Source organism: Homo sapiens, chromosome 14 (assembly GCF_000001405.40).
Source record: "Homo sapiens chromosome 14, GRCh38.p14 Primary Assembly".
Taxonomy (NCBI): domain Eukaryota; kingdom Metazoa; phylum Chordata; class Mammalia; order Primates; family Hominidae; genus Homo; species Homo sapiens.
Genome location: NC_000014.9, coordinates 79,611,714 through 79,636,623, shown reverse-complemented (window position 1 = coordinate 79,636,623; position 24,910 = coordinate 79,611,714). Strand labels below are relative to the sequence as shown.

The window sequence follows — 24,910 nt, the reverse complement described above, 5'->3', positions numbered from 1 at the left end:
TTTCTGCTCACTGGAAATATAATAAAAAAATAATCTGAGAGAAGGCATTTAGGTCTCTGTGTTTTTGCCCTGGGTTAGGTGCCTGGAAGAGCAAGTACTTGGGCTTCATTTCATCAGAGGCCAACCTAAACACTCTATGTGACACAAAAATTATCACAGTTTATGGGGAACTGATAATGACAGCCAGAGTGTGATGTGCTGAAAACAAAAAAAGAAAAACAAAAACAAAAAACAAAAGAACTCACAGTCTGTGTGTCAGAAAAATTAAATCCCTGAATGTTCTCCCAGACTGCAGCATATTGGTGACAATATATTTGTTGATTAGGGGCACCATCGTACTGATATTCTGAAAAAGTACAGTTATAACATGGAGTTATGGGTTAAATTGTGTCTCCAAAAAGATATGTTGAAGTCCTAATCCCTAGTACTTGCAAATGTGGCCTTAGTTGGAAATAGGATCTTTATAGATGTAATCAAACGAATATAATGTCATTAGAATGCATCCTAACTCAAAATGATTGGTGTTCCTATAAGAAGAAAGAAACACCATGTGAAGACAGACAGTGATGTGGTTGTCCCTACCCAAATCTCATCTTGAATAGTAGTTCCCATAATCCCTACATGTCATGGGAGGGACCCAGTAAGGAGTCACTGGGTCTTGGTGGCAGTTTCCCCCATGCTGTTCTCATGATAGTGAGTTCTCATGAGATCTCATGGTTCCATAAGGGCCATTTCCCCCCTTTGGTCTGCACTTCTATCTCCTGCTTCCATGTGAAGAAGGATGTGTTTGCTTCCCCTTCCACCATGATTTTGAGTTTCCTGAGGCCTTCCCAGCCATGTGGAATTGCGAGTCAATGAAACCTCTTTCCTTTATGAATTATCCAGTCTCCAGTATTTCTTCAAAGCAGCATGAGAACAGACAAATACAGACACACAGGGAAAACGCCATTTGATGACACAGGCAGAGATTAGAGTGATGCAGTTGCAAGCCAAGGAACACCAAAGGTGGATGGCACATACCAGAAGCTATGAAGAGGCAAGGAAGGATTCTACAGTCTTCAGCAGGAATGTGGCCCTGGCTTTATTATAGACTTCTAGCATTTAGAATAGGAAAAAAATAAGTCTTGTTTGAAGCCACCCAGTTTGTGACACTTTGTTACAACAGCCCTAGAAAACTAGTACGTTTGGTGAACCCCATTCCCACTTTCCATTCCTGGATGATTGCATAGGCTTAAATAATTTCTCTTGCCTTCCATGTCTGTGGATTCAGGCAAGAGTTGTAGCCTGATGTTCCCACCATCAAAGTCCGATCAAGAGGCATAAAATGATCTGATTCAGCTAGTGCATTTGCTTACTGGTTTTCTTTTTAGCTCATGTTTCTCTCCTGTTTATGTTTTATTTTGTTTTTAATTGACACATAATCATTGTGCATACTTATGGGGTACAATGTGATGTTTCCATACCTGTGTATATTGTATAATGATCAAATCTGGGCAATTAGCATATCTATCACCTCTAACACTTGTCATTTCTTTGTGGTGAGAATATTCAAAATTCTCTCTTCTAGCTATTTTGAATGACACAATATATTATTGTTAACTCTAGTTACCCTACTGTGCAACAGAACACCAGAACATCATTTGCAGCAAAGGTAAACCTAGAGAGCATTATGTTAAATGAAATAAACCAAACACAGACGGACAAATACCTCAAGATCTCACTCATATATGGAATCTAAAAAGGTCGATCTTAGAATTACAGAGTAGTGTAATGATTACCAGAGTCTGGCGAGGCTAGACGTGGTGGCGATGGGGAAAGGTTGGTCAGTAGGTTCCTCTTCTTTTGTTTAATGTGAAATTGGTGCTGTTAAGTTTGGCTTTGATATGCCCAGAAACAGTAAAGGAAAGAGGAAAGAGCATAGTTGTTGGGGGCAGATGGATGAGGAGAAACCCAGAGGGCATATAGCTCACGGGTAAAATACTGCAGACATGTCCCTTAACCGCTTTGAGTCTCCATTCCTTTATTTATAAAATGGGCATGATCAAGTCAACTTTATGTTTCTGTGAGTTTTACAGTTCTTGCTTTAGAGAAACTTGCCTACTTTCAGGCATGTTTTCCCAAAAGCAACATGGTATCAAAAAACAAAAAGGACTTCCTTCATCAAAAGAGATAATTTATTTTAAAGACATTATTTTCACTTGAACCTAAGTAAACCTGATGTCAATATGAGGCTTTTTCCATACGTAACCTATCAAAAGCTATTGGAAAGGTTGCAAGAGCCATCTCTCTGTCTCCTCTCTCTCTCTCTCTCTCCCTCATTTGCTGTCATGATTCCTGGACTAGCCCGTCTCTCGACATTATATAGCCTTAGACAACACAGGATAGATAGTAGCATGAAGTGTGCAGAAGTAAGTCCACCAGTAGGATTGCTAGGGCTAGCCACCCTGTTTTCTCCTTGAACTTGACCACAACATGTTTTACCTTGTATCTTGCTCCAATCACAGCTGTTTCCGTAGAAAAATCATTTCTTGTGATGGACTTTTGTCTCACTGGAGTAACACTCTTTCGTGAGGATAGCAAAAGTTGTAGGGACAGCCTAAGATTTTTTTTTTTAAGTGGTTTTGGTTTTGTGTTTATGGAATGTTTGTTAGTACAGCAGGAGTGAGACTGGATAGAGTTGAAGGTGCTGAAAGTGTCAGATGGCAGAGCTTCGTGGGGGCCCATGTGAATGCTTAGAGTTTTGGTAGCCAAAACTCAAGTAATATAGGTTAAAACAGGCCAGTTGGCTCATCCCAAGAAGTGATGGAAGACTTCTGGCTCTATCTTTCCAGGAGGCAAGAAGAACATCAGCTGGCAGCAAACAGCACCGTTCTGTTACCACCCATCTTTTGCTGTTGTTGGTTTCTCTCATCTCAAAAGAGAGTCTTATTATGTGTCTCGTTTAAAATATTCTTTGTGGATTTCCAACAAAATCCTCTTAAGTTCTTGAATCCAAGAGCAGAACAGAAGAGGTGGTTTGCTTCCTAGACTTCCTGAAACATCAGCTACTTTGATAAATATTTATTGAGCACTTATTCTGAGTGACACATTAAACAGCTAGATGTTACAGAGGATGCATCAATGAGGGAGATACAACTCCATTTCTCAGGGAAAGGGAACATTTCCGGGAAGTGAGTAGAAATAATCAATGAAGCATATACAAAAATAACTGGAACCAAGGCAGAGTGAGACAGGTGCCATAGAGGTCCACCCAGTGGTGACATCATATTGGGTTGGAACTTACCAAGCAACAGCTCATAGGGAAGTCTGCATTTGATAGGAAATAAAGATAAATGGGTAAGGTTTTACCTGACTGGGAACATAAAATTATGCAGATAAGACAAAGCATGGCTTAAATTTTGGCTCTAAAGCCCATCCTTATCAAGCTAGTTCTCCTGCGACCTAGACCTAGGTTTCAGAACTGGGGCAATGATACCACGGGAAGGCAGGTACATGTAGTGTTGAACAGAATGGACTACAGATCACACAGAAATCAGTCTAAATCCTAACACTGCCAATTACTATTATTTGGCTGTGAGCAAATCCCTTGAATGTTCTATTTCTCAGTTTTCTTATTTGCAGTATCATGGTAATAACATCTGCTGCATATAATTGTTTTATATATTAAGATAATGTGTGTAAAATACCCAACTTAATGACGGACACATAGAACACAATGTTAGTGCTATAAAAGCTGTATATGTTAAAGTAAACCTGTGGCTTTGGAAACAAGCCAATGGAGAATTGATCCAGGTCGTGCAACTTACTAGCTGTGTTTAGTCTTGAGAAATTGGTTAATATTTTAAAATCTTGGTTTTATCACTGCTTCTTAGCAGTAATGTGAAGATTAAATAATATATATAAAATACTTAATATTGTGACTAGAACACAGAATGGACTTAATATGTTTATTATTTGTATTGCTGTTATTTAATACACGTCTTAGGCAAAGACAGAGATATAATTTGTTTTAATCATGAAGTGAAATTTTGTAGAACATGGGTGAGACTGTCAATGATTGCTCTCAGTGAACAACCACATATGATTCCTTCCTGATTAGGAATCCCCTTCTCATTCTGCTCTGGGTACTCTGGCCTTCTTGTTTCCACGTTAGAGCCTTCTGCTCCCTCTGTCCTGAATTCCCTTCTTCCAGGTCTGTTATCACTGGCTCCTTCTAATCTCTCTTATTTCAGGTGTGATGTTGTCTTCTCCCAAGGACCTTCTCCAACCACACTACTCGAAGTGTGTCCAGAATTGGTGGGCTCTTGGTCTCGCTGACTTCAAGAATGAAGCCGTGGACCCTCGCGGTGAGTGTTACAGTTCTTAAAGATGGTGTATCTGGAGTTTGTTCCTTCCGATGTTCGGACATGTTCAGAGTTTCTTCCTTCTGGTGGATTCGTGGTCTGGCTGGCTTCAGGAGTGAAGCTGCAGACCTTCGCGGTGAGTGTTACAGCTCATAAAGGCGGCACAGACCCTAAGAGTGAGTAGCAGCAAGATTTATTGTAAAGAGTGAAAGAACAAAGCTTCCACAGTGTGGAAGGAGACCCACCAGGATGCCGCTGCTGGCTCAGGTGGCCTGCTTTTATTTCCTTATCTGGCCCTACCGACCTCCTGCTGATTGGTCCATTTTACAGAGAGCTGATTGGTCCGTTTTGACAGAGAGCTGATTGGTGCATTTACAAACCTTTAGCTAGACACAGAGTGCTGATTGGTGCATTTACAATCCTTTAGCTAGACAGAAAAGGTCTCCAAGTCCCCTACCTGATTAGCTAGATGCAGAGCACTGATTGGTACGTTTACAAACCTTTAGCTAGACACAGAGTGCTGATTGGTGCGTTTACAAACCTTTAGCTAGACACAGAGTGCTGATTGGGTGTTTACAAACCTTTAGCTAGACAGAAAAGTTGTCCAGGTCCCCACTCCACCCAAAAGCCCAGCCGGCTTCACCTCTCAGTGGCACTCACTGGCGACTTTGGAACCTAGCACGGGCACTCCGGCAGCCCAGAGGGAGCTCGTCCCTTTTCAAGCCCAGCAGGCATCAGCCGGCTGCGCCCAGTGCGGGGCCACGGAGCCCGAACCCTTGCCTGCCAGCGAGCGCCCAGTGCAGCCCCGACTCCCACCTCTGCCTGTCTCTCCACACCTCCCCGCCAGCAGAGGGCAGGCCTTGGCCAGCCCCAGAGAGGGGCCCCCACAGCGCCGCGGCGGACTGAAGGGCTCTTCCAGCGCAGCCAGAGCAGACGCTGAGGCCGAGGAGGCGCCAAGAGCGAGCGAGGGCTGCTAGCACGTTGTCACCTCTCAAAAGTACCTCCTACCCTTATTCTGGTCCTTTCCTCTCTAGCACTTACTGCTGTTGGCAATTGACTATAATTTACCAATTAAAGTATGATCTGTCTCCTCTCATTAGAGTATGACATGCATGAGGACAAGGACCTTGTCTTAGCTGTTCCCTTTACAACCCTTTCTGAAACATAGTAGGCACTTGGTAAATAAATAAATGAGTCAATGGATGACTTTTACACGATAAAGGAGACTATTTTAGCTAGTGCATTACACAACGGTTGTTAGTTCCTTGGCTAAAATCAGAGTGCTGTAAAAAAAACTTCTACCACTGCATTCTAAAGCAGGGAGACAGCTCAGACGTATTATGCAGAGCTTGTACCAAACAAGAACTTACTCTCTTTAAGCTCAAGCATTCTCAGACCTAAATGTATCTATATACGGGTATATTAGGGATTGCAATAGGAAGAGATAAGTCTTGAGAACTTTGAACATTGAGCAATAATTGTAAGCAGAGAGATGGAGGCTCCTTTGCCTCTGGTCTAAATTTTTTATTTATAGAAGGACTATTTTCACGCAAAATGGCCTGGGGTTTAGATGAGAATCAGTGGATGATGCATAAAATAGGACAACAAAGAAACAGGAATCCTCATACAGTCAGAACTGTGAAAATTGCCTTAGCCCTACCTGGCTAAAGTGCTTACCAGTTCCTCTGTAAGGAGGAACTAACTGCAACACATATGTTGTGTATTTTGGTACGTAAATAAATGTCCGTCAGTCTTCACCTAATTCAAGTCCCAAGTAGAAGAAACTCTTTTGACTTGAACCAGGACCAAAGTGACAAGAACAGTTAAGATTCCAAAATCCAACGTGGCCAAAGCAGATAAGCAGCACCCTCTTGAAGGAATGTTTTCTCAACTAGGCTTGAAATTCTGCTCTCTGTGAGTCACAGGTTACCAAACCTTAGAGCTTTCTTTCCACTGCTGGAACTCTCAAAAATGAACAGGCTCAAAGTTGTCCTTATGCTGAGGGGGGCAAGTATGCAAGAATGTTTTTCTTCTTGGGTTTGTAGCACCTGCCCTTTTAGCAGAAACCAGCAGTATTCACTTGGGCCATAAAGGCACCATTTGTCAAATTGCTATTCCAGTGAGCTAAATAATACCCCTGTGGACAGAAAAGTTAATCTTTTTCCGAAGAGCCCCATTTCTACCCAGGAAGTGGCTTACTTGCATTGCAGGAGCTGACTCTGTGTTATTATGTTTCCACAGCAGCTAGGTTCATAGGTAAACCACATGGTGTGTTAACAACAATTTCTTTTCATCCTTTTAAAGTTATTTTCATTTCATTAACTACCCCCTTACTCTTTAATTATTCTCTGTTTAGGTTTTGTTGCTGCCATCATCAAATTTCTATCAGGGGAAAGGGCTGCTACCTTCAAGCCACTGTGCATAACACACACACACGCACACACACACACACACGCACACACACACGCACATACACACACACAAAACATATCTGTTCTTTATCACCGTGCATTTGAAAAGGCTCAGCTGTAACATGCTGATCTCTTTGTTTTTCTTCTCCCCTGTTTAGACCTTTGAATGTCATCTTCCTTCAGTTCCTGCACACTTTGTCACCCTGCTTACTCCCTATTAGCAGTCTCCCTAGAATGGCTGTCTCCCTTTTGGAATCTGTGATTTCACAATCCCCATGAAGCTTGTGCCTTTAATTAAATTCTAGTCCCCAACCCTACCCCCCACCATGATTCACAGATACCCTGAAAAGTTCAACATTAATTAACCAGGGCTACGCAAAGTCTCCAAGCTGGAATACTGGAAGAAGAAAGGTAGTAAAATTGTAACATGTTAGGATTTTTAACAGTCCTGTGATGATGCTCTTGAGGAAGGTGTTTCAGATCCAGGAGGAAGTCATTCAAGTGTAAGGGAAGATGAGCATTGTAAATGCTATAACAACCCAGCATAGCATTATGTTTACTCTAAGAAAATTCAGTGTATTGTTGCTTATTTTTTTTCATTTCGGAATTATATATGGTCTCCATTTCTCCCTCTTTTACCCCAACCCCAGCAACAAAGTAGAAGAAATCAAAATGATGCTAAAATAAATAATGTCTTTGATACAAATTTGATCATTTAAAAATTATCTGGGGACATTTATCTAAGATTAATATACTAATTAATCATCACCTTTAAATGCTCTGGATTTCTATTGCTTCTCAAAAATTCCAGAGGAAAAACTTTTTGATGAACTAGAGAACCACTGCCCATTGAAAATAAGGTAGAGAAACGGATCTAGTTTGAACAATCACTGAATAAAATCAAAACATATCTGATGGGTGAATTCCTTCAATAACTCTGAAAAGTGGTGGCCCTTCCTTTGGCTTTAGTACATCCAGTGTTGGGGGACTCATTCTACTGTGAAGAGATTACTCAAAATATAACTATGATTAGAAATGCTTCTACTTTCACGTCGTACAGTTTTCTGAAGTCTCACAGAACATGTCAACTGGCTCTTTTCCTGGGACTGTAAGATACACTGTGCTGCCAAATCTTCCTTTTTCAGGTTAATATTCGACTTTCAACCTAACTCTTGACTATGTACCTGATCTCAGGTACCATGCTTTGTTACTGCTAGCCATTCCCTAAGCAGAAGGCTTGGCTCTGCCAAGGTATTCTCGAGCTTCTGAAAGTGCCATAGAACATAATTCTCCTCCACCTTTCCAATATCTGCCCTCACAAGGACAAACTATGCCTGGCTGGCAAAGGACCTGGGCCTAGTCAAAGCCCCACACTCTACAAATCTCCTGCTAAATCCAATCAGAAGAGTCTTCAAAATTGGTTGAATACAGATGTCACCTAGAGACACAGGTCCTTCGAAGATCAACAGAATGGACATACTAGAATAAAGTAAATACTTTAAAAATGTCATAGGAACTGTTAGGAGAAAACAATACAGGTCTTAACTTGTGCCTAGCAAAAATCCTCAGGGTTAGAATTTGAAAGACAAAAATCTCTCTATTCCACAAATGTAGACTATCAGAAAGAAGGAGGGAGGAGGATGATGATGAAAATTCAGTCAATTTGAATTGATCATATAAAACATGAGACCTTTGATTGCTTTTTAAATCCTCTAAACTGTCCTCTTATGAGGAAAAAAAGTGCCTTTCTATTTCAAGAATTTGCCTATAAACTTTCAATTACTTTTATGTCAACGGAATCTCAGTACTTATCTTTTTATTAATAGATTGATTAAAAGGAAACCTTTTTTTATTTTAATCTTCTTTTATTTTCTAATATAGTAAGAAAGAGGCTGAAATCCAATTTGTTAGGTTTTTTAAAGTCTACAATGAAATTTTAAAATGCCGTGTTAAGACTGCATATATACAGACACTATTTGTATTGAAAATTGTCACTCTATATACTATAAAAAAAGTAAGACACATTCTTTTTGACTACCATCTCTTATCTGCTATATCTCAGCACCCACGCCAGAAGCCTTAAACATGGTACTTCATTTAATCCCTAGCAACCTCATGAGTTAGTTACCATCATCTGAACTTTAAAGATGAGGTTCCATGGGGTTAATAACCATACCCAGTGTCACACAGCCAGTAAGTGGTAAAATCTGGATGTGATCCTGTTCTTTCTCATATTCATTGAACAAATTATTAAACTGATACCGAGAAGAATGAAAGAAGGCTGTGGTAGCTATTTAATGACAGATAACACAAATTCGGAAATGTATCAAGCAATAATAATGAATAAGGTTATCATTTTCCAACCTGCTCTACATTCAGAGATGGATGGCTTATTCATTCTTGTTATTCTTTTGGGGTGTGGCTGGAATGCACCAAGATAGAACTCAGTGGCTGAGGATCTCAATGAAGCCAAAGGGAAGAAAGGATAAGCAGAAGTACACTAGGAAGCAAACCAACAGTCCAGAATAGCAAAGATGTCTATGGTAAAGTTTCAGTCCATGCCCCCATTCCCCTGGTTCTTAGTAGGCAACTCATTATTGATAATATTGCTGACTTGGCATTATCTGGTGATCTAGAGGATATTTGCCAGAACTGCCATAAACACTTTGTAATTTTTAGCAAGTCCTGTATTTCTATCACTATTCAACTGGTCCACAAATTCATCTCAAGAAAAAGCTATAGAAAGTCACAAATTGCCATCTGAAAAACTAAAACACTTAGAGTTACCAAGGGAGAGGTGCTTTTAACTAACTCATATGTCTTTTTTTTAACCTGTCATATTGATAGAGGATTTAACTAAGGCCATCATTCTTACTATTTCTCACCCGAGATTTCTGATCAGAAAGCTACCTGTAAAATCTAGAGGGTCTGATAATGGGCCAGTCCAATATATTAATCGTAGCTGTCTTTCTAACACTTTGTATTGGTTCCCCTTTCTTTATTTATTTCTATGTAAAATAATAATCCTTAAACATGATTGGGATAGAAATAATACTGTATTGGATAATCTGGAAACCTTGGAAGGAAAGCATACTATTAGGGCTAATCGTGCTGAGAAATCTTGAATTTGTAAACCCTCAAGGCAAGTGGCTAGTTCACAAAGAGGTGGTAAGACATAAAGAGATGAAACTGAATAAAGGATAACTTCTGCCAAAAATAAGCAATGAATCAATAAAATCAAATGTCATATTTCATTCTCTTCAACACTGAAAATTTTACAACCTGTTTATCTGAAGAATAAGAGTTTTTGATCTAAAGATGTGAGAAAATGTGGGTTCATGGAGATGTTTGCCATATTTCCATTTCTCTTCTTGAGCATGGGGAGAAAATTTAAAACTACATTGAGTATTAGAAATAATGACAAACAATGAGGGTTATTTCAGTGGTTTAAAAAAAAAAAAAGAAAATGACTATGAAGACATGAACCAATGAATGAAGGGGTATGACTGAGACCCATCATGGTCCCAGGAGATACCTCTAGGCATCTGGAGGGGAGGATCCAGGTCCCAGACTGCCTTGAAGATCTAGCTCTGGCTCTTCTTGGGCTGGCACTGGGACCATCTTAAAGACCCCCTAAAGGAGAAAGAACTCTATCTGGAAATTTTCCTTGACAAAGGATAGACTTGAGATGATTATTCACTCACTTGTACATTCATTCAATCACTATTTATGTAACTACTAAACAGAGTGCTGTGTTACAGAGACATGAAAATGAACTACAGTCTAAGTCTTTCCCTCTTTAATATAAGCAGACATGTAAACTTATAAGTAATTAAACTGTTTATACCTACAGAGGCTAGTCATTATATAATTATATTTGGTATTTCCCAACAATTTTCTAGTTACAATTCATTTAATCCTTACACCGGTCCTATGAGACATGCATCACTCCTGTTTTCTAGATAAAGAAACTATGGGTGAAAGAGGCTCAGTTGCCGGCCCAAGTCTACAGAGCTGGAAAGGTGCAAACCCTGAGTTCTTAACTGCTACACTTCGGTGTAAGACAACAGTGTCCTTTACAGATGCTATGTCTGTAAAACTGGATACATACAGGACAACTGGGAATAAAGGAGCATATTCAGATCCACATGGGGAGAAAAGGTAATCTGGAGAGGTTTCATAGAGGGGTGATTTAGAATGTGAAGACTAAACTGGCTTGAATACTACTTTATTCCATGTACTTCCATCTCATTTGGGAAATAAAATATAGAGTGAAGTTCAGGGAATGCCTGTACACTGTTAGTGGGAATATAAATAGGTGCAGCCATTATAACATCAGAATGGCTGCTCCTCAAACAATTAGAACTAGAACTACCATATTATCTAGCAATTGTTCTTCTGGGTATACCCAGAGGAAATGAAATAAGCACCCCATAGAGATGTCTGTTCTTTCTTGTATTTTTTACAATAGCTAAGATATGGAAACAACCCAAACATCCCCTGATAGTTGGTTCATGTCTTTATAGTTATTTTCCTATTTTTTTTAACCACTAAAATAACCCACATGTTCATTTTTTTCTAGTTCTCAAAGTAATGTTCAATATTCTCCTCATGCTAAAGGAATAAAGACATTGTGGTAGATGTACATATTAAATGGCATATTATTTAGTCTTAAAAAGAAGGAGATCTTGCCATTTGCAACAACATGATTGGACCCAGAAGAAATTATGCTAAGTGAAATAAGCCAGACACAGCAAGAAAAATACTGTAGAGGCCAGGAGCAGTGGCTCGCACCATAATTCCAGCACTTTGGGAGGCTGAGGTGGGAGAATCACTTGAGCTCAGGAGTTGGAGACCAACCTGGGAAACATAGTGAGACCTCATCTCTACAACAAACAATTAGCCAGGTGTGGTGGTGGATGCCTGTAGTCTCAGCTACTAAGGACACTGATGTGACAGAATCCCTGGAGCCTGGGAAGTTGAGGCTGCAGTGAGCTGGAATCATGTGACTGTACTCCAGCCTGGGCAACAGTGTGAGATCTTGTTTAAAAAAAAACAAAAACAAACAAAAAAAAAAACGGGAAAGAAAGAGAGAGTGAAAGAGTTTGATCTCACTCCTAAGTCGACACTAATAAACAGTCAAATACATAGTAACACAGAGTAGAAAGTTGGTTACCAGATGCAGTGGAAGAGGAGATGGGGAGATATAGGTTAAAGGGTACAAAGTTACAATTATGTAGAACGAATATCTAGAGACTTAAGGTACAGCATGATAACTATAGTTACTACTACTGTATTGTATCATGGAAATTTGCTAAGAGAGTAGATTTTTATGTGCCGTTATGACAACAAAGGTAACTGAGATGATGGATATGTTAATTTTCTTGACTCTACTAGTAATTTCACTATGTATACATATATATATATATACATATATGGAGACACCTTAAATGTACATCTTAAATATTTACAATAAAAAAGCTGACCTATACCATGAGTCTGTAGAAAAACTACAAATGGAAACATTTTTCTCTTGTCACTCTTTGGTCTTCCTGTGAACCAATGGAAAGATATCATGTTGATACCTTGAAAATGGAACTGATAATATGCTTAGAAGAAACAATTTAGGTCATGTATTTCTAGAGCTCCCTGTGAGGGGACAATAACGTGGCTCTTTGGTGTCTTTTGAATTTTTAATCTCGATCAGTGGCTTAGCCATGTGGGAAGTGTAACATCTGCAATGTCACCTGCTCCCCATCCAGGAGGAATGCAATCATTTCTTGTGGGTTATGGTGTCAACCAAAGGCAGTCTTTATCTTTAACAGTAGTCATGAAGGGAGGCTAAGCTTCTAGGTGAAATCATCTGTAGGTGAGATATAGAGTCTTCTCTAACACCCTTCCAAGAGGATGGGAAAAGACAACGGTAGTGGAAGAAGAATGATTAACAAATACAATCAGTAAAACTGAAACATTCTAATATTCTACAATTTAACAACAACCAAAAAAAAAAAAAAAAAAAACAGGAGCTAAGGACTCAGTGATTTCTTTCATGGTTTCTAGAATATTAAAAAAATGTAAATTCTAAGTGAAACAAATTATGAGTTTCCCTCTTTGAGGGAGTCAAAAGATATTAGAAATGGCAGTTAATGGGTGATAGGCTAGTAGTTCAGAATTAAATATCCTGAATGAAATCTGCAGGCAAATGAGTTGTCATTCCTTTAAAAGCAATCATTTGCATTTCCCTGGAAAATATGTAAAGTTGCAGTTGAGTATATTATTTCAACTATGATAGCTTAGTAGCAGAATTTAACATTAGGTCCAGAATACCATCCCATGCTCATATTCAATTGCATGTAGTTGAATGGGAATTGCATTCACAAGATGGGGAACCCCTGTACCAACTTATCTTTTTTCTCTCCAAGTAGATAAACGAAGTGTCTACAGCTGCTATGCCTTAAACTGAGTTGATGGGCTGAATTTAATTAGGTTGTAAGAATGGAAGCTAAACCAGATAATTGACTAAATATAAATGGAATAAAGGCATTTCCACCCCAAAATGTGTTCCTAGAAAACATAGAGTAAGACAAAGTGTGGCCAAGGAGGGTAAACATGTGTTCATATGCTGCTGTATGCATCTGCCCACACCTGCTCTGCAGCTGTAAAAGGCATTTGCATGGTATGGGGATGATGAGTTGATGGCATTTCCTTAGGGAAGAGTGGATGCATTCAAGATCTTTGTCTCAAATATAGCAGGGACAAAAGGAATAAAGAGTTTCCCTGGCCACAGAATAGAGACTAAGAAAATAGATTCCTAAGTACCACCTAGATTTCTAATATCATAGTATTTGCCAATATCACTTAAAATTATTGGATTTCTCTGCAAATATTCAGAAGTCTATTATTTCACTATTATTACATAAAAGATCAAATAATAGATACTCAATAATAATGAAATAATAATAAACTAAGTAATAGGCCGGGTGCGGTGGCTCACGCCTGTAATCCCAGCACTTTGGGAGGCCGAGGCAGGTGGATCACGAGGTCAGGAAATCGAGACCATCCTGGCTAACACGGTGAAACCCCATCTCTACTAAAAATACAAAAAGTTAGCCGGGCGTGGTGTCACATGCCTGTAGTCCCAGCTACTCAGGAGGCTGAGGCAGGAGAATCCCTTGAACCTGGGAGGCGGAGGTTGCAGTGAGCCGAGATTGCGCCATTACACTCCAGCCTGGGTGACAGAGTGAGACTCTGTCTCAAATAAATAAATAAATAAAAATAAACTAAATAAACTAAATAATAACAGACAAGTAGTATCTGGGCCCTCACTAAATCCCAGATCCTGTGCTAACTACTTTATGTATCTTCACTCATTTAACCTTTCATTGACCCTGTCATACAGGTACAATAATTATCTACGTTCCATGAATGAAAAGATTGAAGTTTAGAAAGGTTAAGAAATGCCGAAAGCCATGCAGTTAGCAAGTGACAATAAATTTTATATAAACCACCTATGAAGTTCTTGACTAACAGTTCTAAAAGATTCTTCAGGTTTTACTTGCTTCTGAGTCTGGCAGCTTTTTCCACTGACAAAAGGATCACTTCTACTACTAACATTAATAGGTCAGAAGTACTCATCTGTGCAAATCCATGTCACATGTCTCAGATGAGAAGTGCCATGGTACCCTGTGCTAATTATGGCCTCTTCTGCATGGACTATGAGCTAAACCATAACCCAAAATCCTTTCACGTTGCTCTGACATCATCCAACAGTATACTGGGACAGCGTGGAGAATGTGATGATGTTCCTCAGCCCTAATTCAGTATTCTAGCCCAGTGCCTCTCAATCTGCATACAGTGCCTCTAAAGTTGTTGACAGAACGCAGATTCTTATCCAGTTAAGTTTGGAGTGGGGCTTGAGATTCTACATTTGAAACAAATATCCAAGGGATCTCCATGCTGCTGGTCAGAGAACCATACTTTAAATAGAAAGGTTCAAAAACACCTGGATTTAGCCAACTGTGAATTGATCCATTACTTGAGCAGCAAGCATTGTAACTGAGAAAGCTGTTGGATTAAGCCAAATCCTATTTTTGTCATGCTATAAATAATTTATTTGTTTTTCCTAATTTGTAAATTGGGTCTAAAGAGCAACTGCTGCTCAGGCTGCAGAAAATGCTCATTGTTCAAAGCCATTCTGATTTACCCATGGTGGAGAAAGTAAGCAAGAGTTCTGTGCACAGAAGAAAGATAAAAGGCTGAACCTGGCTATTCCCTCCCAAGAGTCTGTCCCTTCAGGTTTGAGTCAAGAACATAGCAATTACACAGATTCAAGAGTCTATAAACTGGCTTAGCAAATTGCACAAGTCTAAGAATAACATGTAATATGTACAGAAAACCCTATCACTTATGTCTGGCAAAGGACTCATAAAGTTATCACTTTTCTCCACTGGCACCTTTTCCATTGTATTTACATCTTTCTTGTAGAAACAATACCACAAAATGGTATCTATCTATTCTTCACATCTTTATCTTTGTATTGACACTTACCTCTTTGAAATTGAGGGTTGCATCTTATTCAAATGTGTAACTACAAAAGTGCCCGGCATAGTTGGGTGCTGATTAGTAATTATTATATTTATAATAACAGATGCTTTTGGCTAGCCTTTTCTTTTACCTAGCCTTGGGCTAAATGCTTAATAGTCATCATTTCAGTTTATTCACAAAAATACCTCATAATAACTATTATTGTTATGCAGACAAGGAAACTAATGCTGACATTACTTGTTTTACTAGTTTACCTGTAGTATTTTGATAGTGTTGATCACTCCTTAGCCCCAGAAATGCTCTTTTCTCTGTGGGTTACACTTTTTTTGGCCTTTTCTTTAGTTGAATCTTTCTTTTTCTTACTGTGCCTTTACTTTTCTCCTCCTACTTCCTAAATGTAGATCTCCCCCAAAGTCTGAGTGTTACCCTTCAACTTTTGTCTCTATCTACATATCTTATTCCCTTCAGGTCTCATCCATTCTCCAGACTTCAAGTATTTCCTCCATGAGAAGTTCTCCAAAATCTCTTTCTCTACCTCTTACTTGGCCTTTGACTCCAATGCTACATATCCAACTGCCTCCAAAGTATCTATGCTTGCCTGTTTCTCTATCATCTCAAACATTAGAAAACCCCTCATTTTCTCTTTCCTCCAAAGCCAGTTGCCTCTAAATAAATTATCCACTTTGAGATACAAAATCATCAGTTTTCCATTCATTCAGGCATAAATTCTCTTTCTTCCCAGGTCTATTCAGCCATGCTGCCAGGGAGGTTCTTCCTTTAAAATGTCGTCATCTTTTTATTGTACTCCAATGCCACTACCTTATGGTCTTTATAACCTCAGAGAACTAGCATCCTAATAAGTTTTCCCTTCACACTCACCCTATTCTCATCCATCTTTGCTCATGTTCTTACATGTTTTCCCATGGAGTCACATTTCTACTTAAAACACATATGCATGGTTTCACATCACCAGGAAGACAAGTACTTGACATCAAAATACTCCAACAATCTAAATCTTTTTATTACATCAGTGTTTTACATGCAATTTGTTTCAATATGCTTGTGATATTAAAGCTTTATTACTAACTACCATTCTATAACACTTCCATTTCAGCCATATACATCATTCTCTGGACACTCCTTGTACTATCTGATTTCTTTCTGGAAATTATTCAATCGTGCCCCATATATATCCACATTTCTTCTTGGTTTATCCCCTTCTATTTATTCTTTGAAACCCAGCCAATGCCAAGCTAACTTTGTAAAGACTTCTGGAGCCAACTCCAGATGCAAGTAGGCCTAGCCTCCCATGAATATTTAAGACAATAACTTCTTTTCAGAGGTTTACATCCAAATCACTTCATAGAGCTTTTTGAAAATAAAAACAAATGGTCCCCATGTCAGAACTAAGGAGCCTCGTTTCTGTGAATAACTTCTAAAAACCCACAGACCACTCAAATGGGCACTCATGATTAAGAAACTTTATAAAGACATTTATCTTTTCATGCATATGGTACTTGCTTTATCAGTAGATTGGGAGATCTTCGAGGACAAGAATTATGAACCTGTATTTGGTATCTCTTAGGAACCTACAAGACTACCTGACACAGTAGAAGAATAAATATTTTATGGTTGGTTCATTTTTATGAATACTGTATTCTGTGTAATTCTGAGTAAAAATCATATGAGAAGACACAAATTCTGATTGTTAGGACTTTGAGATGGCCCCCAAATAAGGAAAATACTATAAAGAAAGTGTTTAATATAGGTACAATTAACCAGCAGTAGTTAATTCCTTTGGGTAGTTTTGGGTTTCAACATCACATAAAATCTCATGGTCACAAGCAATGGGGAAAGGACTCGCTACTATTCAACAAATATTGCTGGGATAACTAGCTAGCCATATGCAGAAGATTGAAACTGGACCCCTACACCTCTCACCATATACAAATATTATTTAAGATAGATTGAAAACTTAAATGTGAGACCTAAAAATCATAAAAATCCTAGAAGGAAACCTAGGAAATACCATTTAGAACGTTGGCCTTGGCAAAGAATGCACAACTAAATCTCCAAAAGCAATTACCACAAAAACAAAAATTGCTAAGTGGGACCTAATTAAACTAAAGACTTTTTGCACAGCAAAAGAAACTATCAATAGAGTAAGCAGATAACCTAGAGAATGGGAGAAAATATTTGTAAACTATGCATTTAAAATACACCTAATATCTAGAATCCGTAAGAAACTTAAACAATTCAACACAAAAATCAAATAACTCCATTAAAAATAGGCAAAGAATATGAACGGACACTTCTCAAAAGAAGACATACATGCAGCCAACAATTACATGAAAAAGTGATCAATATCACTAGTTAGAGAAATGCAAACCAAAACTGCAATGAGATATCATCTCACACCAGTCAGAACGGCTATTACTAAAAAGTGAAAAACAAACAAACAAAAAAACAGATGTTGGAAAGGTTGCAGAGGAAAGGGAAAGCTACACTGTTGGTGAGAATGTACATTAGTTCAGACACTGTTGAAAGCAGTTTGGAGATTTCCAAAAGAACTTAAAATGGTATTACCATTCAACTCAGCAATTCCATTACTAGGTTTATACCCAAAGGAATACAAATTATTTTACCAAAAAAGATACATGCACTTGTATGTTCACTGCAGCACTATTCACAATAGCAAAGACATAGAATCAACCTAGGTGCCTATCAATGGTGGATTGGATAAAAACAATATGGTACATGTACACCATGGAATACTACACAGCCACAGAAAAGAAAAATGAATGAAATCATGTTCTTTTCAGTAACATGGATGCACCTGGAGGCAATTACCCTAAGTGAATTGATGTAGGAACAGAAAACCAAATACCACATATTCTCACTTGTAATTGCAAGCTAAACTATGAGTACTCATGAACATAAATATGTCAACAATAGACACTGGGGATTACTAGAGGGGGAGGGAAGGGTTGAGGCTTGAAAACCTGACTATTGACTACTATGCTAAGAATGATGAGGGGATCATTCTTACACCAAATTTCAGTGGCACACAATCTATCCATGTAACAAGCCTGCACATGTACTCCGGAGTCTTAAATAAGCATTAAAAATATATAAAATGACCATCCATAATAAATAAATAATGAGTCTTATGGTCAGAAATATTTCTGGTAAACAGGAATATTATCTTACTTCTGCAAAATTAATCTTCAAAACTCATCAGAGACTACAAAGAAGTCTTCAATATTAAAAACCCAAGTAAACAGCAGAAAGTAAAAACTTCAATCAGTAGAAGAAAGAAGTAAGGCTTTCATTTTCTTTCTCTTCCTAAGCCAAAGGAGTGTCATTTTCACTAGGCAGCTCTTCATAAGCATGTTTTTTTTTTTTTTTGCTGCTATTCAGCTCCTATCTCTGAATCCAAAATTAAAAATGACAATAATAATAATAACGGAGTCAGTGTTTTTATAATACTCAGTTCTCAAATTCCAGAAAACCTAGTTGATGTTATTTCCTAACCTGCACTCAGTAAACAGGAGATTGACCAACGTCACTTCGTCAGTCTCATTTTTCACCTTTACCTAATTGTCTCTTTCTACATCCCTTTCGCAAACTCAACTGGTTTTAGTCACATTCTCGTTAGGGAAAGACTCATCAGTGAGTGAAATAGGAATTATTGCCTTTAACCAAAGTAGAAAGACGTGAGATTAGAATGTGGATCTCTGTTTCTGCTACTGGTCAGTTTTGTGCATCTTCTCTATTCTTGATATTTGCCATTGACTACAGAAGACATAATATCTTAAATATATACATTTAGTGCTTCAAAGTTTTGTATTATTCTTTAACTGCTCTCTTGAAATTTAGTGGAATTTAAGAATGCAAAATGAATTAGCTTCTAAAAAGATGGTGAGATAATTGGTGAAATTGATCCTACTGCATATTTCTAAGTGTGTATTGATGCCCACTTTTGAAAAGCCATTGGGGATGCACACTTTTGAAAAGCCATTGGGTAAAAATTTATTAATACTATTGAAACAGTAATTCTACCTCTGAATGTATTCTACAGGCATACAACCCAGGCAACAAACGCTCTTTATATAAAATTTTTATTTTTTCATTTTGGTATATCCCTGAAACAGAAAAAATCCTTTAGCAGAGAGCAATTCCTGGAGTCAACCTAGTTGAGACAGGTCAGTGACCAGCACTCCCAGCAGGTTGGTGAGTGAGTATGTGGGTCCCAGGGTTAAGTGGGACGGATCTAAGCAATGCACCACAGTATCCCTTCCAAGGATTGACTATCAGGCCTATGAGATCAGGACTTGGTGGTTAAGGATTCTCTCCCAGGAAGGAAGAGGTCGGCTACTATTTGAGGGCACATGGAAATGGGTGGTATGAATTCAGCTCTGTAACAAACTAAGTGATATAACACAAGTCTCTCCAATTTCTCTAGACTTTACTTTCCTCATCTATGAAAGAAGGAGTTCGACTATCCAAACAGCAAATTCTCTAATCTTCTACCCTTCTCTGATATTCAGGTCTATGAATTTCAATGGCAGATCCCCATTGAACCCATGGAATACATGGACACTTTACAGACATTTCTCAAGATTACCAAATCTCTTAACTCATTCTATTTTTTTAAACTTTTATTTCAGGTTCAGGGATACATGTGCAGGTTTGGTATACAGGTAAATCACATGTCATGGGGATTTGGTGTACAGATTATTTTGCTACCCAGGTAACAAGCATAGCACTCCATAGGTAGTTTCTTTATCCTCTCTTGCCTTATTCCATTTTTAAATTCTTCCTTCTTGAGCCTGTTCTCCATTAACCTTGCTCTCCCTTTTTCTTAATTGACCCCTTTTCCTTGCTTCCTAATTCAAGATACTTGGTGAGACTGGAGATAGGGAAAGGCAGTTAGAAGAGTAGATTCACCAATTCTACTCCCCACCCATCACTTCTGTCTATCACCTAGTTGTGCCAAATGTACCCCTTAAAGATTTCCCACACATATCCTCTCTTCTTCACTCCAGCTGTTGCTCCCATGCTGCAGCCTCTCTTCCATCATCCCCTTCCTGGATTACTGTGAAAGCCATGTAGCCAACTTTCCAGGCTCCAGTTCTGGCTTCCTTCTAATCAATCCTTCTGTTTCCACAACAATATTTCTAAAATGCAAATCTGACCTTGTCAGTTCTTTTCAAGAGCTCCCCGTTGTCAATTGATTAACTCTAACTTCCTTGGTGTGACTAGTATGACTCTCAATGATCAAGTTCTGTATTCCCAACTCATCCTTCACTTCTTCATACTGCTGGGTATGAATTCTTGCTCTCTTACTTACTAGCTGTGAGTTAACCTCTCAGTGCCTCAGTTTCCTCATTCTTAAGATGGGAATAATACCTCAAAGAATCACTATCACTATAAAGATTAACTGTTTTAATACATTGATATGATTTGGCTGTGTCCCCACCCAAATCTCATCTTGAACTATAGTTCCCATAATCCCCACGTATTGTAGGAGGGAACCAGTGGGATGTGACTGGATCATGGGGACGGTTCCCCAAGCAGTTCTTTTGATAGTGAATGAGTTCTCATGAGAGCTGATGGTTCTATACGGGGCTTTTCCCCCCTTCACTCTGCACTTCCCTCTCCTGCTGCCATGTGAAGAAGGATGTGTTTGTTTCCCCTTCCACCATGATTGTAAGTTTCCTGAGGCCTTCCCAGCCATGTAGAACTGTGGGTCAATTAAACCTCTTTCCTTTATAAATTACCCAGTCTTGGACAGTTTTTTATAGCAATGTGAAAATGGACTAATACATACATACAGTACACTTCCAAAAAGGACAAGCAAAATTGAGCTCTCAATCAAAGCTGGTTATTATCATTTTTTCTAAAATGACTTTCTCTACTATGTCTAATGAACTCCTAGTCAACCTTCATCAGCCAACTCAAGTGTTATTTTTTCTGGTAGGAATTTGGTGAATATCTCAGTACTCTTCTCCCACTGCAATATCTTCTAAATTACTTAGGTACCTTGAAGATGCATTTATCATTATGCATTATACAGTGCATTACATTTATTTCTTTAATTTTTGTCTTCCCGTGTACATATTCTCTAAGCTCCTTGAGAGGGACAGTAGAAACTCCCAAACTCTCAGTCAGTGTCCACAGAATATATTAGTCATCTGTCACTAAGGGCTAATCTCTTGTTATCTTTAGGTAAAGCACTATGATAGCCCTGGAGATCCGTTGTCACTGCAATCCTACACTCCTAATTGCTTTGAATGGAGTGAGGCACTGTGGGACTCAGTCTGTCATCTTCCAAGAGAAGACCCAGCCTAGTTTTAATACCTCCACTTCACTCTCATGGACCACTTGCTGTTGTTGTTATTTTTTCCTTTTTGACCTGCAAGTGGATACAATATTTCAATACCTAACTAGGCAGCTGCAGCTTTGGAAAGGAATTTACTTTATCCAAGACCAGTCTGATAGGGCAGTTAGGAAAGAGTCATGTGAGTAGATGCTAGGGATTCTGGTAATGAAATCCCGCCAGTTTGTTATGGAAATAGAATACAGTCTAGTCTACTTGCTGTGAGTATTTAACGTAACATTTTGCTGGGCACAGGAGAAGCAATTAGGCTGCTGAAAATTCTGTTCACGTTCCCCATAATTCAATACTGACCACTGTTAGCAGTGCAAGATGTGACAGGACTGATAATTAATTTTGCATGAAATCAGTGTAATAAGAAGGAAAAGCAAGGAGGGAGTAGAAGAGGGAAGGAAGGGGATCTATATTCGGCGGTAGATCAAATGTTACTTCCAAAGATCTGATCATAACTTCTGCAGAGCCAGCTTCTGGGTAGAAGACAATCCAGTCAAAATCCAATACTGAAAATGAGTTTCCATACTTCACACAGGAAAAAAAAAAGTTCATGAAGGCCATCTTTGGCCATGTCCTCTCTTCCTTGAGCTAAAAACTAACTGGGCGTTTTTACATTGATAAATAAGTGAACAGTAAGCTTATCTAAGGCCAGTAACAAATGCTGGGTCTTCTATTCCCTTTGTGCTTCTCCTCGAAGGAAATTCTTACTTCAAACACTTTGTATATGTGTGTTCTATCTCAACGGAACCATCACAGAGCTGAACTGCCTTGAAGCATCTCTTATCTATTCATTCTGTTTTCTCTCAGATTTTAAGAGTGACAATTTTGGAGGATTTACTTCTTTCTAAAGTTTCTAACAACCATAGCAGATAACTGTGCTGGCAGTCAGATAATTGGACATGAATTGTTATTAGAAAATAAAGCATGGACCTTTTGATACTGATATTCATCTATCCATCCATCCATCCATAAAAATGCCAGTATTGGAAGAAAAAAGTGATTTCGACTAAGTCGAATGCTGGATTAACCGCACTGCGGTGTGGTAGAGGCATCACCAGCTACCAACTTCCTGGCATATTTCAGCCGTGGTTTAGTGTGTTTCCTGCTAAGCTAAAATGAAAGGTTGACTTAGACAGAATGGTTTCTGATTTATCTTTGTGCCTGGGAGCTAGGCACTGTGAACCTGCCTAGCTCCTGGTGGGCAAAAGGTAGTCAACACATACTGGGTGAAATAAGTAAGTATGTGTGTGCATTGGTTAGTGAGCCAGTTAGTTAAATCTTTTAGGATTTGGTAGTATTTGGGTCACATGGAATTTTAAAAGATCTTTGGGCAACACCTAATCACTGGTACAATTCTTGTCAATTACTTGTAATAAGAGAACCTAATGCTAATGTGAGTTATCTATTTGCTACTTGAAGTTAAGAAGTGGTTTGGCTAAACAATGCAAAACAAGGACAGGGTCTGAGGAGCTGGAAGTGTACTTTGTGATGCTTGGGATATCATAGACAGGAGAGAGGCAGCTTGGAATTAAGCTTTTTCCTCTTAGAACCATTGATTGAGATCTGAGCAAATCTTACACACATACCAATTAAAAATTGTACTCACTGTAACAACGATAACATAAAATAGTGGCATAAATGCCCCAAATTTTATCCCTTCACATTTAAACAGTTTAAGCATTATAGTTTAAGGCTGATTCAGAAATTTCATCTGAGACTTCTATATTTTTTATCTTTGTGTTCTGGCATTCTTAATCATAACTTCCATCTTTAAGATTACCTTATGATTAAATAGGCTTCTGAAGATCCAACCACTACATTCATAGTACAGGCAGCAAGAAGGACAAAGGATGTCCTTTGCAACTGAGTCAGATGCCTTTAAGCAGTCTTTCTGTATCTGCCACTCAACACTTTTGCATACCTGACACTCACCAAACTTAAAGCAACATACCAGCTTGACTGTTAGAAAAGGTGAGAAATGTTTTATTTTCTTTCTTAAAAAACTAAGGCAGTGTTATTTCAAATAAAATTGGAGATTTGGTTCATTTTAGCATTTTATTTTTATTTTAAAATTATTATTATTTTAGAGACAGGATTTTGCTCTGTCAGTTAGGCTGCAGTGCAGTGGCTTGATCCTAGTTCACTGCAGCCTTGAACTCCTGGCTCAAGCGATCCACCTCAGCCTCCTGAGTAGCTGGGACTACAGGCATGTGCCACCACACTAGACTAATTGTAAAATTTTTATGTAGAGATGCATGCCTCACTGTGTTGCCCAGGATGGTCTCAAACTCCCGGCCCCAAGCAATTCTCTTGCTTCAGCCTCCTAAAATGCTGTGATTACAGGCTTGAGCCATGGTGGCTTGTTGGGGATTTGTTAATAAGAAAAAGAGACAATGGATTTTCATGGGAATTGGCAGTTTCTTTTACATGGTTACAGAAAGCTTGCCCCCACTTTCCATCAGTTTGCCACCCTTTGGCTGGCTGTCCTTTCCCCTGGACTTTCTAGTCACCAGCAAAAAGATCACTGTACTGCAGAGGAAGGAGATGTCCCTGGAGCAGCTCTTTATCCACTGGAAATGTGTTAGCCAGAGACACCCGACCAGCTCTTCAGAGTCTGAGAGTCCTCATGTACTATTCAATACCCTGGTTCAACTGCTGAACCAATGAATTTCCTCCAAGCACTCACAAATGATTGAAAAACCATAAATATAGGTGATAATAGTAATAGGGTGAAATATAAACAAAGTGTGCAAAGAAGGGGAAAACATCTAGAATCTTCATGTTTCTGAGACTATAATTTACTAGGCATTGACATTAGCATTGATTTATGTGAATTTCTGATGCTTCTGTGGATTTAGACAGACCCCAATAATAGCATCACAGTTCAGTGTCTTATTACCATAGCATATTATATATTTTTCACAGCTTAGTTTGATTTGCTATATGTTAACTAGATGGAAAATTTCCTAATTGCCTTAATAATTAATGTCAAAGAAATGACAACAGTACTATTTATTCATGACTTAGTATATTCCAAGTATTATGCTATGCATGATCCAGCTATATTTTAATTTAATCCTCAGATATTTTCCATTTTACAGATTAAACAAGTGCAACTTTCCCAATCTCACACAACTACTTGTGGAGCCAGGATTCCATACAGGCAATGTGAGTGCACATCCAAAACTTGAAACCACTGAACAATAATGCTTTCTGAA

General features: G+C 38.6%; 1 protein-coding gene and 1 long non-coding RNA gene across 58 annotated transcripts in view, besides 4 other annotated features; one reads left to right on the top strand and one right to left on the bottom strand.

Moving 5' to 3' along the window:
• The window catches only part of NRXN3 (neurexin 3), a 1,697,919-nt gene that overhangs the window by 231,668 nt on the left and 1,441,341 nt on the right, over positions 1-24,910 (bottom strand). The gene's annotated exons all lie outside the window — the stretch shown is intronic.
• Positions 3,421-24,910, top strand: part of NRXN3-AS3 (NRXN3 antisense RNA 3) — a 35,483-nt gene continuing 13,993 nt past the window's right edge. Inside the window, exons 1-3 of one of the 2 annotated variants that reach the window (XR_007064281.1) lie at positions 3,421-3,488; positions 4,233-4,346; positions 24,794-24,860. This is a non-coding gene — a long non-coding RNA (NRXN3 antisense RNA 3). Of the gene's footprint in view, positions 3,489-4,129; positions 4,347-24,793; positions 24,861-24,910 lie in introns of those variants that run through there. The other variant, XR_001751001.3, reaches the window with a different exon arrangement.
• Positions 4,669-5,168: an enhancer, noted in NCBI's record as "H3K4me1 hESC enhancer chr14:80097799-80098298 (GRCh37/hg19 assembly coordinates)". NCBI's record gives its function as "activates a minimal SCP1, AML or CMV promoter by ChIP-STARR-seq in primed H9 embryonic stem cells {active_cell/tissue: H9 hESC(primed)}" and the evidence as "EXISTENCE:reporter gene assay evidence [ECO:0000049][PMID:30033119]".
• Positions 5,169-5,670: an enhancer, noted in NCBI's record as "H3K4me1 hESC enhancer chr14:80097297-80097798 (GRCh37/hg19 assembly coordinates)". NCBI's record gives its function as "activates a minimal SCP1, AML or CMV promoter by ChIP-STARR-seq in primed H9 embryonic stem cells {active_cell/tissue: H9 hESC(primed)}" and the evidence as "EXISTENCE:reporter gene assay evidence [ECO:0000049][PMID:30033119]".
• Positions 5,657-7,228: an enhancer, noted in NCBI's record as "VISTA enhancer hs1369". NCBI's record gives its function as "enhancer in: neural tube[4/8]" and the evidence as "EXISTENCE:transgenic organism evidence [ECO:0001131][PMID:17130149]".
• Positions 20,677-20,846: an enhancer, noted in NCBI's record as "experimental_37450 CRE fragment used in MPRA reporter constructs". NCBI's record gives its function as "activates a minimal promoter by MPRAs in K562 erythroleukemia cells, with activity observed for both the introgressed and non-introgressed 14:80082206 variant alleles {active_cell/tissue: K562}" and the evidence as "EXISTENCE:reporter gene assay evidence [ECO:0000049][PMID:34662402]".